Here is an 18,045-nt window from a genome sequence, read left to right on the forward strand (position 1 = left end):
ACTGCAATGGTTACACAAGCTTTAACTGTAAACTTAACTTACAAATATAGTAAAATTAACTTATAGTAATGATAAAAAATAAAGTTTCCCCATACTGGGTAATATTTACTTTTATGTCAGAGATGAATACGGAACAAGTAAGAGTCTCAAATGAGCAGCAATAGAGAACTCAAGGGCTTTAATTATATGATGTATAATAAAAAGAAATGGCATAAAACACACTGTACTAGTATCCTCAAGGATTAAACTATAAAATGCCTAAATATGTATCTCATTCTGACTGAATTATAATCAGGTATTCATCTTCCTGCTACACTTTGTCAACCCTGCACCTCTGAATCCAGTCATTCCTCTGATGTGTATGCCTTAATATTAAATAGTTGTCCAGAGTGTATTAGAATTAAATATATATTTAGCAACAAGCAAATGCCAAGAATCATAGGACATCAGCAGGGACCAATGAAGGTATTATATATAAAGATTTTAAGCTCGACATATCAGAATAAAGAGATCGTTTTTCTGATTTCAGGAGTGAACTTAACTCCCTTCTCTTTCAATCGGAGTTGGCCCATTTTATTATAATTATAAAAACTGTAATTTATAGGATTATTTCGCTATTTGTTGAAAAGCCAATCTAAAGTTCCAGAAGCCACCACTTTTTAAATAGTGCTTTATGTGTTACATATTCTTACATGTAATAAATCACTCTTGAGATGCAAGCAAAGCGAAACAGTAGCATTTCATTTCTCATTAATGGGTCTCAATACAAAGTAGGAGAGTCCAGGCAAGTCACTTAACTCCTCCAGGTTTTATCTACAAAGAAACTGGTATAAATACCTGCCCTTTCTTACCTTACACAGTTGTCCTGAGGATCACATAAGAAAATGTAGTTGTCAAGAGAAAAGTATTCCTACAAGTGCTGGAGCAGAACTGTTGTCATATATTTTTGTTATAGCCAAATTCTTTCAGGTGAATCACTCAGCTTTTGTACTGTTCGTGCCTTACAGAAAGCTGGAAGTACTGTGCCCCCTGCTGTTGAAATGTGAATACATTTGGTTGCTGGTTAAAAGGAAATGAACTACACTACAAATACCTCTTTATAATGAAGGTAAAAATACTAAAATAAAAATCTGAAAATTTTCAGAGGAAGCAGCCACCTTTACGCAACAGGAGCATGACTTTCACTTGATCCATCAAGATGAAGGCAAATAAAATTAATCTTAATCAGAATTTCTTGGTATTGAAACTTTATGATCGAATTTCTTTATACTTCCTCTCCCTAAGCCCTTGATGTCCTGGGCTTCTAGACCCAATCCCCTAGAGCTCCTCTTGGCTCCTTCCCCAGGCAAAAGAAAAAGTTTCTGATTAATGTGAAAAACTTAACTCACTGAATGTCATCCGAAATAGACTTCGGAGAGTGTTAAACGATTCGGCTTTTAACCTTTAAGCCACCTGTTTTCAACTGTGTAGTGAGTTTTGGCACCTTTTAAAAGGGATGCCGTGCACAAGGCAGAGACTTCTGTTTTGTTTTTTCTTTTGCCAGGAAACAGGAAGTGCTAGTTACAGTGGGGAGTGAGACGGGTAAAAAATGTTTTAAATGCTCATTAAGGTAAAAGGTACCTTACCTTAAGGAAAACATTCCAACAGAATGTTTGTCAGGTACAGAGCACTTATTTTTGTATCTCTAATTTCCCAGAATAATGCCAATTCATAACCCACAGTAGGTGTTCAATGGATGCTTATTAAATTAAATCACCTTGATTTGGATCTCTCACGCTGACTGGAAGAAAGGGTCTGTCGCATCCTCAGTCCCCCAAGATCTGGCCTTCGCACAGGTCTCTCTGCAAACCAGGTTCGGTCACATCTATGAATCCAACTTTCATCTCCACGGTTTTTAAGATTCCCAAGTGACATGTTTGCATTTAGGGGCATACTTTAATTAGTATATGACGTCTTCATGCTGATGTCCTAGAATGTATTACTAATATTTCTATTACTATTCCTTAATGGTGATCAACTAAGAAAAAATAAATTATGAAGTCCATCTTGACCAAGAATTCCTCCCCACCAAGATTTGTAAAACTTTCTGCCACACATATCTGAAGATGATCTTTTTTGACTTTAACACCTAGAAATGTATATTTTAATTTAAAATAGAATTTTAGAAACTTCTAAGAAATCAGTAATTTTCTCACCAGTTCAGTAAACCACTTTACCAATTAATCTTTTATTTTTTATTGCATACATCAATATTTAACAGAAGAAAAATAAAGAACCCCTAATGTTAAACTGAATTACATGTTATCTTCTGATTCTTTTCAATGTAGACCTAAATTTTCACATGTATCAGTAAACACAATTTATGTTCTTATTAACATTTTTGAATCTCACTTTTTTGCATACAATTTGACATATATCAATATTATTGAATGGCTATATAACATTCTGTGATAGCACTAGCAATACACCAAAATTTACTTAACCATTTCCAATCGTTGGGCTTTTTTCCCCCTTAAAGTTATCTGAGTGGAACTGCTAGAAAACTTTGTACAAATAGCTTTTCTTTCTTTTAAATATTTTCCTGGGCATATGCCACTCAAAGTGAGTATGTCAAAAGATCAGTTATAAAGCCCTTTTTATAGTCTTCTACACAGTTCTCTTAAAAGGCTACTAATACACAATGCTGCTGCTATAAGGACACATGCAATTAAAACAGTTTTGCTAATACAATAGCATGAACTAAGTCAAAGTTGCATTTTTAATATTAGGAAATTTGAATACCATTCAAATTGATTTTTTATATCATTTATACACGATCGCTTTATAAATTTGCCTAAGAGTACAAACCCTTATGGATATGCATATAGTTTTACAAAAACTGAGTGCATCCATGTGTAATGCAAATAGCTTCTTTTAAATTCCATCTTGTTTTGTCTTTTTCCTATTTACTACACATTTAAAACTTTTTCTCTTAGTTGATCTACCTTGCCAATTGCCATGAAGTTCCTTTATACCACTATTGGTGTGAGACTTGTAGTATTTTTCTTTTTATACTTAACATTTTAATTCATTTGGAATATCACATGTAAAGTGGATCTAATCTTTCCACACTGACATCTAGCTAGTCTTTCCACCAGCAGTTATTAATATTTCTTTCTTTCCATTGGCTTATTAATTTCAGTTAAACTTTCTACTTGGCACCACAGAATATTCAGAAAGGTTGCTTAATAGCATGTTTTAAGGATTTGGAGAGCAAGGCTCCCATTTTTTCCCCCTAAATTAAAAAAACTTACATCTTTGCTTGCTTTCCTAAATAATTTATTACAATTATGCCATATTCCACACAGCAACCAGTTGGAATGTTAAATGGAACTGTAGTAAATTTCATACTAATGTCACATATTGGCATTTCTTTGGATGTAGCTTTATATTTTAAAACACATTATCTAACTTAATCCCCACAATAATTCTGTGAAGTATTTCTCTTCTGTAGATGGTGAAATAGATACTAGGAGTGACTTTCCCAAGAGTATACAACTGGTAAGTAGTGAAATGAGAACTGTAATTCTGGTTTTCAAAAAAACTCCCCATCTCCCCATGTACTACTTTTCCACTACACTGGCATGGCTCCCATGGGAGTTTGTTCATGTTTAAAAATATAGCTCTTTAAACTTGCTTCTATTTAGGCATCTTTCTTAATTTATCTCTATGTAGTTATATAACTTTCTTTAAAAGTCTCATATATATTAATAACCAAACACACTTTTTAAATTGCAGTTTGTCACTGCTAAGATGTAGAAATGAGATTTTTAAAAATTGTGTATCCTGCAACTTCTTGAATTAGTCTTTGTTAGTACATTTTTATACTATAAGTTTTAGCAGTTGTAAAGCCATGTTAATAGAAAATATTTATGCTACTTTCCTTATCTTCCTCATTTTGTGAATGCTGGCTTTTATTGCAATGACAGGTCTCTTTAACCATATATAAAAATAGTGCCAACACTGTTTACTTTCCACTTGAGAAATGTTTATGTTTTCCCAGTAGGAATAATGGTAGTTCTTGGTTTAAGTACTTAACAGACTCCGAGAAGTCTATTAAATCATTGCCAGAGAAATAATTAAATCAAGGGTGAATGATGAATTTTTGAAAAGTTATCTGTAATTAATACTTTGGATTTTACTATTTGTTCTTTTGATGCTGATTTAATGGCTGTTCTGCTTAACACCAGCCTTATAATCCTGAGTGATAGTAAATTATTTGTTGCTGTATTGTTTGCCAATATTTTATTTTGCATTTTGCATCTGTTGAGAATAAAATCCTTCTAAAAATGTCTTTTAGTACTGAGAACATGTCTGCCTCAAAAGACAATTTGAAGCATACTGTCCTTCATGATACATGGATAGACATTATTTAAACATTTGAAAAAGTTCACCAGTAAGTCCATTAGGGTCAAAGTCCAACCTGTCAGAAAATTATACTGGGTTACAATATCCCCTAAATTTTTAAATGCTTTTTATTGGTATAACTTCTCATTTCCCACTTATTTTGTATTAAGAAATATATTCATTTTCTTCATTTCTAAATCAACCTTTATTTTCGACTAATTTTTCCTATTTCCATTATATTCGGCTATACCATCTTTTGCAACTTCTGATTGTTCCTTTTCTCAATTTCTTATGAATAATCTGTGATACTGAAAATCTTTTCGGTAGATCTGGAATACCTTCACCTTCATTTTATTTATCATCTTATGTATTTCTCATTTTAATTACTATTTTATAGGTCTATTTCAAGTATTTCAGTTGTTCTGTTAGATTTAAACTTTAGGATAAAGTTTAAATATGACTTTTACTATATTTTTAAAAGTCAATACAATCCATGACTTTGCTACTTTAAGTAAGTTGTCAATTACTTAAATCTGTCTAGTCTCATTTTCCTCACATATAGAGGAGCAAAAATTAGTGTATTCCGAACAAATTTTGGCCTGATAATATTTTTTGTAACACAATCTTCAGATCATGAGATGTGTTACTGAAGAACATTTTGTTAAAATTTAGCCAAATTCTGCTTCGAGATCCATGCTCTAAAATATGTTTGTTTAGTTCATCTTATCTTCACATTTCTCTGATTCAATAAGCTGCAGGACCAGTGTGTGCTTTTTACCCCCGGCAATGCTAGACTAATTTTCGTGGGCACTTTCTCTTTCTCCTGCAGCGCCTACACTCTCTAACAGTGAATGTTAGTAGAAAGATCAAAGGTTTTAGAATCACAAAAGGCTGGGTCCCCATGTTGGCTCTTCCACATACCAGATTCTGAGCAAATTACTAATAATTCTCTTATTTCTTCTTTGAAGGTGATATGGTTTGGCTGTGTTCCCACTCAAATCTCATCTTGAATTGTAGCTCCTATAATTCCCACGTGTTGTGGGAGGAACCTGGTGGGAGATAACTGAATCATGGAGTTGTTTCCCCCATACTGTTCTCATGGTAGTAAATAAGTCTCACGATATCTGATGGTTTTAAAAGGGTTTCCCTTTTCACTTAGTTCTCATTCTCTCTTGTCCACCGCCATGTAAGACGTGCCTTTCACCTTCCACCATGATTGTGAGGCCTCCCCAGCCACATGGAACTGTGAGTCCATTAAACCTTTTTCTTTACAAATTACCATCTCAGGTGTGTCTTTATCAACAGCATGAGAACACACTAATACAGAGGGTACATGCGAATTTGCCTCACAGGATTGTTGAGAAACTGTCATGAGAAAGCATAATACTAGGTACCAAACACATGATAAATACTATTTCAGAGCAAAAACTGTCACAGGGATCATCATACTCTGACTGAAGAATGGAAACTGGACTAGAGGAAAAGCAAGTTCATGTCTTCTGACAGCTCCACAGGTTTTCACCATTAGAGTACTACCAGTTTTATGACGTTGGGTGGCTCTGGGAGAAAAAAAGTTTCTATACTCTGGATAACAGCTAAGAGGCAAGAGAGATTACAGAAAATTGTTACTTCACAATTTGTTAAGTGGGACACAACCGAAAGGGCATGGTAAATCCTCCTTTGATTCATTCCTATCAGTTATGTTATAGTGATATTAATTAAAGTGGTAGAGCCAACAAGGTGGTATGTTTCATTCTCACTGAAAAACCTTGGGTAATCTATTTATAGAGGGTTTTATAAGTATCTGTAATCTCAGGTTAAAAAGGCCTCACTCTGTTTCTCCTTAGGAATTCCTAAGAATTCCTCCTTAGGAATTTCAGAACAGCCCTTCTGAAGTATCTTCTCCTGGGGCACTTCATTTTTCCTTTTGGTCTAAGTTACTTATTGGAAGCTATTTTAAGTGCCAGGGCAGGGCTCTGCAGAAATTTTCTGAAGTATTAAATAAGAATAAATCTTATCTTTCAAATTTCCTTTGCAATCAACCTCCCCAAAATGAGCTTTACAACCACTAATTGAACTCCAATTCTTTTTGTAAATTAGAATACTGTGGTGGCATCATTGCCTCATCAGTTACAAGGGTCAAGTGAGTATTATAAACTTCAGACCTTCACAGTGCATAAAGGATCATGCAAAGCTAATCTTTAAACGATTATAGACAAATGTATTTTATTATCATATTGGCATTTGTATTAGTTGCTATTCCTACCACCATGTCTATACATTTATATTATATGCAAAAGATCCACATAATTTACCATTTGTGTATGTTTCACTATTCGAACAGGCCGCAGCAACTGTAACAGCTGCAAAAGTAATTAAAATATTACTTGGGTATTACTAATTGTTCTGTAGACAAAGATAAAATCTGAAGATCATTAGCAAATACATTACCTTTAAGCTGAGTTGCTAATATGGAACCCTTACATATATACCCAATACTAAAATAAAGCTAACTCTGTTTTAAGATTCTGGGTCATATAGCCCATTCTAAACAAAATGTTCAATAATCAATAAATCACTCATTGATAGGTTAACAAAGATATTCAATGCTGAATGTCTGAGAGTTAAAGACAACATCTGCATAGCATTCATCATATATAACCACTTCTAATTACTCATATGGGAAACTGTCCTTTAAATGAGAAAATTCTGATGCCATGAAGGAGGTCCAAAACAGCATTTCGAGATTGCTCTTTTCTAATTTTGAAGGTGCTTCTCTGGGCTTTCTAGGTTTTTGCTTTCCTCAGAGGATTCTAGTTTGGCCATTACTACATTATTGGTTCCAGGAGCCTCTGGCTGCTTATCATCACCATCAAAGATAATGTCTTCTGGATTTGGAGGTGGAGGGCAGAATTCTTCAGTTGGAAAGATCTCCTGGAAAAGTGTTTCAGCTTGCTTGACAGCATGCTCATTTCCCAGGCCACAGTCAGGCCCAGAGCAGACATAAACATTGGAAGGCAAGCCATTATACGAGCTTCTGCTGATTCCCGAGGAATCTCTCATATTAAAATAAAGAGCCCACAAGAGTCTTGGCTTTGTAAGTTCTTCCTCGTTTATTTCTGTTTCAGTATACGGAGTGAATAATTTCTTCACCACTGATTCTAAGTCTTCTCTTGCTGTTTTAGAAGATGAACATGTCAAATGTACCAGATAGGTGTCCTTCATGCATGTCATGGTTGAAGAACATAATTCTGTGACCCGTACAGCACAAGCTCCTGGCTCTGCTGGAGGAACTATCAGAATGGAAGTCTGCTGATCTAAATCTGTCTTTAGTATAGACTGATCTGTAATGAGTACTGCCCTAGAGATCTGCTTATACTGCACATTTGAGCATGTTTCCTCAGAAAGGTAACTGTCTTCCACAATAAAATATTTAGCATTTATTCTTTGACCAAAGTGATCTATAATTGCTTTACATCGTCCAGATTCTTTGTCGACTACAAAGCATTGTACTTTATGACGAAGACAATAGATTCCACCAAAAACTGCACACATCCTACAGAAACCCTGGGGAATTTCTCCTTGGCCATACAAGGGAAATAAAAAGGGGGTGTTGCCAAACCGTCCGAGACACTGAAGGAAGTTTTTAGTTGCGTTAAGACCATCTATTGTAGTGCAAGATGATTCTGATGTCATTGCAATTGAGTGCAGTACAAAATGTTGAAGGTTGGGAGTTAGTTTTTTAGTTTTTAAGTATTCTGAAAATGAACACTGCCTGAAAGCTTGGTATTCATCAGGATGTTGTTCATACTCTAAACAAAATGTGAGAAATTTCATTAGCATCCTCTTTTCAACCATGGTGAGTTCCTTGCTATTAAAGACATCTGCTCTGGAACAAGGAACTTGTTCTACCTTTCCTTCCCGAAATGCAAGAATCCTAGTGACATTTTTAAATTCTACATAACGACTAACATCTGATTTGATTAAAAGATCAATTAGCAATCCTTGAGAATACAGCAGTTTTGACACCAAATCAATATTAAACCTCCTGCCTTCTTTAACTATTTGAGAGTAAGTAATCCTATTTCTAATTGGTTCATCGGCCTTATCTTCTACTGTAGATTTGCTTTCATCTTTATCTCCATCTTTATCTGAAACTGTGTGCATACAAGTTTTATCTCCACAATACTTTTCCTTCTCCACTGATTCCTCTACATCAGTTACTTCTAGTGAAATCTCTGTATCACTTTTCTGAGTGTGTTTTGCAGGCATTTCGTCGCTATTAAAATACGATAACTGGCTTTCTTCAGGTAATGCAGAATCCAGAACTTCAGTGAAGGTATTAGACACCCCCAAAGAAGGATTTTTCTGCAGAGCACCAATCTCTTCAACGTTGTCCTCCATATCCTGACTGGCGTAGCAAAAAGCTTCTGTGTGTTGAATAGTTTCATCCTTCTTGCGAAGAGTGATGGCTTCTTCTGTTTCATGGATCAGGTCCTGCCATACAACAGTACTTTCTTCCCCAATGTCATTGTTTTGCTGATACTCCTTCAACCAGGATAGCAATCCTGAAAAGCTGAAACTAGCCCAGTTTCCTCCATAGTAGCTTCTTGAATCAATATGCAGAACCCTCTGACCACTTCTTGAACATGCAGCTGCAAGGATGGATTCGGGCAAACCTGTCCCTATTATAACCACATCAAACTCTGTGGGAAGATTGTCCGCCATTTTAGGAAGTAACAGCGTCTGGTGACAACTGCTGATGAAAGAAATGAGGTGTGATTATGCTGTAATAAAATCTGTCCTTCTGATGTTCCAGTTATCCCAGAAGCACTGAAGTTGCAGGTCCTAGCTGTTTAACGGTTACCCTTTTAAAATATTTTTTTTCTTATAAGTCAGTAGCATAAAAACATGAGCAAGTACATCTAATCACATCTGAGAATACTAAAATGGATGTGTGGTTTCATTTCTGCATTTCATCTTAGCAGTAAATGTCAAAATGCATCATATATGCATTTGTGACTGGAACTCTTCTCTGAAAGAAGAAAATTCAAGAAAGAATACATTGTAAACAATATAAGAGAAAAATAATTTCATGCAACAATGACAATCCATTGGAGTGTGACATCTTATTTGGACATAAACCTCTACTAAAGCATGTCTTAAATGCTTTCTCACATATTTTCTAATTTCTTGAGAATGGACAATAGAGATATAACAGCCCTCCCAAGAATCAGGCAACATAGTAATAGAGAATGAACATAATGTTCCACAAAAATAAAGAAGAAATAACATAATACAATTCTCTAACTTTAGCTTTTAAGAAAACTATCATGTGAATAAATCTATACACAGCTGTGAGCTTAGACTAAAAGGAACGCATGGCTCCACTGTTTATAGAAACAGATTATAAACTATGTGCATACTGCCATGATTCAAAATATTTCTGTGGCCATTACAGTCTATGTGTGATTCCAGAACAGCTGAATATAAGACCTTTCCATGCCACAACCACCCTTAGGATCTCATGGTAGCAACATGAGACTATTTCTACTCAATTACTAGTCAGATTATTACAAAAGGATTAATTCAGTAAAACAACTGGCCATTTAAAAATATTTAGGCTCATAATAGCCCTGAGGAGGAAAATGTATTAAAAATATTATATGAATGTACACATGCATATAAGTAATAAAGGAAAAAAGTGTGTAAGTGTAAGTAAAAAAGGAAAACTTCTGATTTCATATTAAAATATCTTAACATAAATAATACCTACTTCTAACATTTGAATACAGTGATGTTTGCATTTCGCCACTGTCTCTGCAACCCTGAATCTCTGCATCCCAAGCAAAAGGTCTATCTAAACATCCTCTGCCAAGACTAACACTGTTTGTTCTTATTTTTGAAGGGGAAGTTTAAAAAAAAAAAAATAATAAGGTTCTCCTGTTAACTTTGAGCATAATGCTGGTTACATTCCATGTGCGGAAGACATCTGTGTGATGCCCTGTGTGGCCAGAGGTAGAAAGGCCAAGGTGCTGAAGAGCATACTCACCTGAAAGTCTTTAGGCTAAAGCAACAATACTGCTAAACTTTCTAATATTCATCATTGCACAGTTTTGAGCTCTGGTTTTCACTACTGTTAAACCTACTGAAATATAAATCAGTACAAGCTGTACCTGTCTAGCCCAAGATGACTAATAATCCTGGATACTGGAAAAACAAGCCATTCAATTGGAACTTAGATTAAATTGCATAGGGCACACACCTTTAGTTTAACTAAAATGGCAATCCTAACAGTCCTGTCTAGTCAAAGCCTCTGTCTCAAAAATATCAAGGATTCCACTCATTTTTGGCATTCCCTAAGAAGCCAGGAACTAAGTACAGAATGCAGCAGTTGCCTGGCCCACTCAAGTATAAATATAAGTATGTCTGAATTACTTATTCTGCTTCTTCCAGCAGGGTGTGAAGATGGAGACTGAATCTATGATGGTATCTGAAGAGGTGTAACCATAGTACATGCTGCTTCTTGGCTTAGAAAGACAGGGCTCAGGGTAGGAGTAGGAGCAGAAGACACAATCAATAAGCGCTAAGATCAGGCACGTTCTAACCTACAGATATCAAAGGGGTCATCAAAATGCAAAGCAAGTAGGATGGCCTTACAGAGCATTAAGCTGAATTACCCAATAATAGAGATGAGAGAACTGATAGCTGGAGAGATTAAGTGACTTGAGAAAGCCCGCACAATGCATGAGTCGCAGGATAAGGAACAGGATCCACTCTTGTGCCATCAGACCAATGGTCTTTCCAACAGATAGGGCAAGCCTCTCCAAAAGCCTCTGCATCAAGAAGCTACTTCCCTCATTTTTAACTTCCTCCCCTTCAATACTCCACTGTTAGGTAGTTCTTGCTCAGGGATAACTCAGGAAGTGCCCTCCTTTTCTTCATCCTTAACCTGGATCTAGAAGCACAAACTCCGGAATTTACTCCAGGCAAAGAAATCATCTTCGCTAAAAACTTTTTAAACTCTATAGTAACTTCACTACTAACTTGCCCCCCAGGGCTTAAGTCTCGGAATCTCTTATCTCAGGGTTTCCACCTCTACATTAAAAACAGGGAGAAAGTCATGGTTGAAAGCACTAAATGCCCTGAAAAATAGGGCAGCCCTCAGGCAAAAATCTAAGTGAACTTAGAAAATCACTGGGCTGGGACCCTAGGAGGGATGGTGAAGAAGAAAAACAGGAAGGGAGAAGTGACCAGGAGACACAGGAGGGTGGGATCAGCAGAGGAAAGAGGTGAGGAAGAGGGTGGATGACAGCTAGCACTTATAAAGAACTCAGTACACCCTTGTGTTCAAACTCCCGGGCACGAAAACAGAATTTTCCAGCACAGAAAAGGCACTTCAAGGAAAAAAGAACTTTGATGTCTGTGAACAAACACCTGTTGACTACCCTGGAGAACACTACTGATGATACTTTAGGCTTGGGCTTGAATAACCTTCTTAGCATTGCCGAAGAAACTGCCTGATAGGTATTTTACAATTAATATAAGGAGTGTAATCCCATAGTCGTCCATACCACAGCCTACATACACTTGCAGTCCCCTCCCTAAATTTCAAATGTTTGTTCAAATGAAATTATCAGATTAAAGCTTATGAGGGGCGGGGAGGAAAATATTATAACCTCTGAAGCAATCAAATAAAATCTATTTTCTTATTTCCTTCAAAACGCCAAAAAATGAATCATTACAAATATAATATTTGGGTTTGTCATAGCATAGAGGTTACTGAATAAGAAAATATTTTTGATAATTCTACAAAGATTTTTGTTCTCCCAAACCTACCAAGATTAAAGCAATAAAGTATCAATGGATTTCAGGATTTAAAAAAGGAACTTTAAGCCTTGAGAAATACACATTTCTATTTCAAATCTCCCTACAAATGAAATTCCTGAGGCACACAAAAAAATAATTTCCTTTCTACGCTTCCTTCAATGATTTGCTGAGTTGTTGATCATCCTTCAAAACATCATGTCTCAGTGAAACTTAAATCTTCCATAATAAGAGTACTGTCGAAATACATCTTCAACAATGAAGTTCTACTTTAATGAAATCTACCGATTGCAGAGCTAATTACAGTATTTGTTCACCTGAGATGGTATTGGCTGAGCCATTTGTAATCTCACCCAAGATTCTGGTGTGCTGGAACCCATCTATAAGACGGAAAATAGTAAAAACAGCTTACAGGGCACATGCCAATTTGCATTCTGAGGACCTGAATGAAACTGTCTCATTCCCTAGAAAGCATTCAAAGGTTTACAAGTACTAATGAGAATTTTTTTTTACACATTGTTATTTTGGTTTTCTACTCTCATTTTAGGAAACAAATAGTAGTACATGAATCTAATCTCATCACTCCCTCCAACTTTCACGAGTTAATCACTTTTTTTCTTGAATCTCTTGACTCTACAGGCCCTCGTCTCTTTCCTCAAAGTGTAAAAAGCCGTGGTTTCGTGCCTTGTTGAGTGATCTTAGGAGGTAAAAACAAATAAGAAAGGAGGCGGGCCGGGGTTTGGGGTCAACGTGGGGGGCAGATGAGAGACCACAGGAATGGAGTCCTGGACAGCGTGGGGCGGGAGGGGACGGAGGAAGAGGAAGGCACCCGCCATGCGGCTGGGGTCGGGCAGCGTTGAGGAGGCGAGCGGGGAGCGGGGCGGTGTAGGGCGGGGGGCGCGGGGCCGAGCGGGAAGCGGTGCGGGGCGGGCTGGGGGGCGGACGCACGGAGCGGGCAGCGGGGTGGGGAGTGGAAGTTTGCAGAGGGGAGGCTGCCTTCTCCCAGTCCAACTCACCGAAGAGGCTGCCGCTAAACCCGTCCCACACGCAGCCCACGGTGTCCCACACCCAGCCGTTCCTCAGGCAGGACACGAAGGTAAAGGTGACCCCGAAGAGGGACACCAGCAGGTCGCTGAGGCTGATGTTGACCAGGAGGAGGTGAGTGGGAGTGCGGAGCCGCTGGAACTTGTAGTAGAGGACGAGCACCAGCAGGTTGTTGCCGACGCCCAGCAGCCCAATGGAGCCCAGCAGCAGCGCCAGGCGCTCGTAGGTGCCGGGGCTGAAGAGGGGCGCGGGGCTCAGTGTCCCCGCCGGCGCCGGCCCCTCAGCGCCCGCGGCCCCGCCGCCGTCCCAGTAGCCGTGGCCGCCGCTGCGGTTCCCCGAGTACATGGCCCGGCGCCGGCGCGCCTGGCGGGCGGAGGCGCTCAGCTTGCGGCGGGGCTCGCGGCGCGCTCCGCACTGGGTGGGGTTGGGGCTCCGCCGCCTGCTCTAGCCATTGTGCACTGAGGGGCCCGCGCTACCGCGCGCCGGGCCCGCCCTCTTCCCGCCCCTTCCGCCCGGCGCACCCCCCGTGGCCCCGCCCCTCCCCGCGGCCTGTCCTCGTCGCTCCGCTGCTCCCGGCGCGTCCTCTTAGCCCCGCCCCCCCGCGGGCGCGTCCTCGCGGCTAGCTCGCCCCGCCCCCACTGGCTGGGCACCTTCCGCTGGTCGGCGTGGACGCGCGTCGCGGGATAGCCTGGGGGCCAGGGCCGCAGGGTAGCCTCGATGGCTCTTCACACCCCCACCTCCCTGCACCCACCTTGAAAGCTTCGTGTCCACTCACCCATTCATGCACTCACTTATACATTCATTTATTCCTAAGTATTTATGAGCGCCTGCGCCCACCACGTGCTGGCAAGAATTGGGTTTCTCCCCTTCCTGGGAAGCTGTAATAACCCACAACCAGCCTACGAAGCCCATCCCGCGTCATACACTCAATGTAAACAAAAGCAAAGAAAACATTGAAGAGCTCGGGGTAGTCTTACCGGAAAACTGAGAAGAAAAACAACAAATTGATAGACAGGTGCCTGCCTAACTACCTGACTGCTAGAGGACACATGTCCCAGGGCTGATACAAGAGCCTGCCACCCTTGGAGAGTCTGGGATGAAAACTCTCTGAAAATGGCATTCCAATGGAACTGACTTTAAGCCCTGGGCTGGACCCCAAGGCCTTCCAATACCGTCCTTCCTGTGCTTGAAAGCGTGGGTAGATCTTTCCGGTCACTGAGGCCTGCTAAAGTCCTTCACAGGCAGTGAAAGATTCAACCTAAATCTAGCAGGTATAGGAGGCAGGTGCTATATTTAGAACAGCACACATTTCCCATTGGGCCTCTTCTCCTGTAGTGATGAGAATATAGTACAAGTCAAATATAGGTTGTGAACGTCATCACACTCTGCAAGAGCTGCTTCTGCCTTTGTGGTTGCACAATCCCTAAGGAGGCCCTACAAGAAGATCACAGTCCCCAGCCACACCTGCAGCCTGTCCTGGACACTGGTGACGAACACAGGGTTTGTGCAAGCTAAAGAAACTGCTCTCCATACGGGCGTGCCTCACCTCTGTTTGAAAGATCAGTAGGGAATGACTAGCTTGGATCAATCCACATTCTGAATTCCCTGGAGAGAGGATCTAATAGGCTGGCAGCAGCTCTCCACCCTGGTGCACTGAGCAATAGCTAAGGGGCAGTGTGCTCTGCCTTTGACACCTTGATTTTCCTTCAAGGCTTCTGCTCTGGACTCGCCATCTGTGAGACTTCCTACCCACCCACCCCTTAAAAAACACACACACACTTTTAATTGTTAATTTTAGATTTGTACAACCACTGAACAAAACATAACTATTTAACAAGTTCTATATGTTTAATGTCGAAAGTGTTTTCTGTGTCTAGTCTACAGTAAGTTCTCAATAAATAGTAATTTGAATGAATGAATAAAGAACTCGCTATATTTTTTCCTATTCATTCTTCATTGCTGAGTCATTGCCCTTATAAAGCTCACATTCCAGTCGTGTTGGGAGAACAAACAAAAATTAGATAAATACGTAGGGTGTCAGCCACTGACAAATGCCATGAAGAAATAGGGGTCAGGCGTGGTGGCTCATTCCTGTAACCCCAGCACTTTGGGAGGCCGAGGCAGTAGGATTTCTTAAGCCCAGGAGTTCAAGACCAGCCTGGGCAACAAAGTGAGAACTGCCCCCTAACTCTTCAAAAAATAGAAAATTAGCCAGGCAAGATGGTACATGTCTGTGGTCCCAGCTACTCAGGAGGTTGAGCCAGGAGCTATGGGAGATGGGGCAAGGAGTTTGTAAGAGTTAAAGAAAGAGGAAAGAAACACTAATAGCAGCTCAACAGTCAGACAGTGTTATTTGGAAGAATAAACCTAAGAGGGGCTTCTGGCCGATTTCGGTCAGGAGCACTCTCTTACAGACTAAGAGTATTTAAGGATTTTAGAGTGAGAGAGCTTATCACAGGCGTGGAATGTTTCTGTTTGGAGAAGAAGTTTATTGCCAAGTTGGAATGTCTCTGTCGGAGGGGAGGTTATCTCGGGGCTCGCATGTCTCTGGTCAGGGAGGGGTTTATCTTAGGGTTGGAATGTTTCTGGTCGGAGATGTCATTTGTGGTGTATGGTCATGCTGACCTTAGCCATTAGGCTGATGCTGTTTGGATTTAGGTGGTTTTTGATCAAGGGGAACTTTAAAATGGCAGTGCTTGTCCATGATGGTGATGCACCTGCTCTGTCAAGGTTGTTATTTAGACAAGGTGGTTATGGGCAGGAGTACTGTATTGGTATGTTGGAGGAACAATAAGGAAGCAAGAATGAGAATCGGGAAATGCAGCCAGTCAGGTGGGTGTGCAGTGAATGGCCAGAATATGCAGGACCTTGGCCATTTCAATAAAAGGACTTTGGCTTTTACTCAATCAGAGTAAAGTCCAGGGCAATGCCTACTAGCAGTGAATGCAAAGGAGGAGTAAGAGGCCTTTGACAAATGCTTAAGCATTTTTGACACAGTAATTTTACAATACTATGAACCATTAAGGACATTTATTGAGCTTGACAGAAACAGGCAATGATAAGGATATATGTTTCTTTTTTAATTTTAGAATTATGTAATGACAGGATAATGGCAGAACACTACAATCTTTTATTAAAAAAAAAAACAAAAAACAAACAAATGAAAAACACCAGCATGATATAGTTTGGATGTTTGTCCCCACCCAAATCTCATGTTGAAATATAATCCCCAATATTAGAGGTGGGTCCTAGTGGTAGGTGTTTTGGTCATAGGGGGCGGATCCCTCATGAATGGCCTGGGCCATCCCCTTTGTGATAAGTGAGCTCTGGTCATCTAAAAGTGTGTGGCAACTCCGCCATCCCACTCTCTCTCTCTCTCTCTCCCTATCTGGTTGTCGCCATGTGAGATGCCTGCTCTCACTTTGCCTTCCACCATGAGTAAAAGCTCCCTGAGGCCTCCCCAGAAGCTGAGTAGATGCCAACACCATGCTTCCTGTACAGCCTGCAGAACTGTGAGCCAATTAAATCGCTTTTCTTTATAAATTACCCAGTCTCAGGTATTTACAGCAGTGCAAGAACAGCCTAATACACAGCATAAGGACAAACATGTAGACCAATGGAATAGAATAGAGAGCCAAGATATAAACTCTTACATATATGGTCCATTGATTTTTGACAAGGATGCCAAGGCCATTCAATGGGGAAAGGAGGAAAGGACAGTCTTTTCAACAAATGATGCTGGGAAAACTGCATATCCATGTGCAAATGAATGAAGTTGGAGCCTTACATTATATCATATATAAAAATTAACTCAAAATTGATTGGAGACCTATATGTAAAAGCTAAAACTATAAAACTTTTAGAAGAAAACTTCTTGGGTATGACACCAAAAGCACAGGCAACAGGAGAAAAATAGCTAAATTGGACTTTATCAAAATTAAAAACTGTTATGCATCAAAGGGCACTATCAAAAGAGTGAAAAGACAGCACAGCAAATGGGAGAAATACTTGCAAGTCATATATCTGATAAGGCATCAATATTATAAAGACCCCCTACAACTCAACAACAAAAAACTCCACACAACCCAATTCAGAAATAGGCAAAGGATCTGAGTAGACATTACTCCAAAAATATACTAATGGCCTAAAAGCACATGGAAGGAAACTTACTGTGATTAGTCATTAGGGAAATGCAAATCAAAGCCACAATGACATACCACTTCACACCTACTAGAAGGGCTATCATCAAAAAACAAAACAAAACACAAAAACAAGTGTTGGTTTTTGTGTGGAGATGTGTAGAAATTAGAACCCTGTCGTACTGCTGATGGGAATGTGAAATGGTGTGGCTCCTGTGGAAGACAATTTGGTAGTTCCACAAAAAGTTAAACATAGAATTATTGTGAGCTCATTCCTGTAATCCCAGTGCTTTGGGAAGCTTAAGCAGGATGATCACTTGAGGCCAAGAGTACAATGACCAGCCTGGGCAACATAGTAAGACCCCATCTCTTCAGAAAAAAATAAAAAATTAGCTGGGTGTGGTGGCACATACCTGTAGTCTCACCCAACTATTCAGGAGGCTGAGGCAGAAGGATCCCTTGAGCCCAGGAGTTTGAGGTTGCAGTGAGCTGTGATCGTGTCACTGCGCTCCACCCTGGGCAAGAGAGTGAGACCCTGTCTCAAAACAAAAAAAATTGCCATATGATCTAGCAATCCTATTCCTAGGTATATACACAAAAGAATTGAAAGCAGGGACTCAAACAGGTATTTGTATACTTATGTTCATAA

The 18,045-nt window shown here is 39.6% G+C and overlaps 2 protein-coding genes across 6 annotated transcripts in view, besides 5 other annotated features; both read right to left on the reverse strand.

Annotated features, from left to right (window-relative positions):
* Positions 1 to 13,717, reverse strand: part of OPN3 (opsin 3) — a 47,246-nt gene extending 33,529 nt beyond the window's left edge. Inside the window, exons 1-2 of one of the 3 annotated variants that reach the window (NM_001381855.1) lie at positions 13,230 to 13,717; positions 2,199 to 9,145 (exon numbers count right to left, since the gene is read on the reverse strand). In NM_001381855.1, coding sequence (NP_001368784.1) covers positions 9,075 to 9,145; positions 13,230 to 13,602 — 444 coding nt within the window. In that variant the 5' untranslated portion in view covers positions 13,603 to 13,717 and the 3' untranslated portion in view covers positions 2,199 to 9,074. Of the gene's footprint in view, positions 1 to 2,198; positions 9,422 to 13,229 lie in introns of those variants that run through there. The other 2 variants (NM_001381856.1, NM_014322.3) reach the window with 2 other exon arrangements.
* CHML (CHM like Rab escort protein) lies at positions 2,199 to 13,717 on the reverse strand. 3 transcript variants are annotated; one of them, NM_001381854.1, is made up of 2 exons: positions 13,230 to 13,717; positions 2,199 to 9,145 (listed from the first exon to the last, which is right to left on the reverse strand). In NM_001381854.1, the coding sequence occupies exon 2, from the start codon at positions 9,112 to 9,114 to the stop codon at positions 7,144 to 7,146; it is 1,971 nt and encodes a 656-aa protein (NP_001368783.1). In that variant the 5' UTR covers positions 9,115 to 9,145; positions 13,230 to 13,717; the 3' UTR covers positions 2,199 to 7,143. The 3 variants fall into 3 exon arrangements, with proteins under 3 accessions (NP_001368783.1, NP_001368782.1, NP_001812.2); NM_001381853.1 differs by having other exon boundaries at positions 2,199 to 9,421; NM_001821.4 differs by lacking the exon at positions 13,230 to 13,717 and having other exon boundaries at positions 2,199 to 9,542.
* Positions 12,844 to 13,414: an enhancer, noted in NCBI's record as "H3K27ac hESC enhancer chr1:241802798-241803368 (GRCh37/hg19 assembly coordinates)". NCBI's record gives its function as "activates a minimal SCP1, AML or CMV promoter by ChIP-STARR-seq in primed H9 embryonic stem cells {active_cell/tissue: H9 hESC(primed)}" and the evidence as "EXISTENCE:reporter gene assay evidence [ECO:0000049][PMID:30033119]".
* Positions 13,087 to 13,136: a silencer, noted in NCBI's record as "silent region_2009". NCBI's record gives its function as "represses an Ori minimal core promoter by ATAC-STARR-seq in GM12878 lymphoblastoid cells {active_cell/tissue: GM12878}" and the evidence as "EXISTENCE:reporter gene assay evidence [ECO:0000049][PMID:35858748]".
* Positions 13,415 to 13,984: an enhancer, noted in NCBI's record as "H3K27ac hESC enhancer chr1:241803369-241803938 (GRCh37/hg19 assembly coordinates)". NCBI's record gives its function as "activates a minimal SCP1, AML or CMV promoter by ChIP-STARR-seq in primed H9 embryonic stem cells {active_cell/tissue: H9 hESC(primed)}" and the evidence as "EXISTENCE:reporter gene assay evidence [ECO:0000049][PMID:30033119]".
* Positions 13,415 to 14,046: a biological region, named in NCBI's record as "H3K27ac hESC enhancer GRCh37_chr1:241803369-241803938".
* Positions 13,467 to 14,046: a silencer, noted in NCBI's record as "silent region_2010". NCBI's record gives its function as "represses an Ori minimal core promoter by ATAC-STARR-seq in GM12878 lymphoblastoid cells {active_cell/tissue: GM12878}" and the evidence as "EXISTENCE:reporter gene assay evidence [ECO:0000049][PMID:35858748]".

This window comes from Homo sapiens, chromosome 1, assembly GCF_000001405.40.
Source record: "Homo sapiens chromosome 1, GRCh38.p14 Primary Assembly".
Classification (NCBI taxonomy): domain Eukaryota; kingdom Metazoa; phylum Chordata; class Mammalia; order Primates; family Hominidae; genus Homo; species Homo sapiens.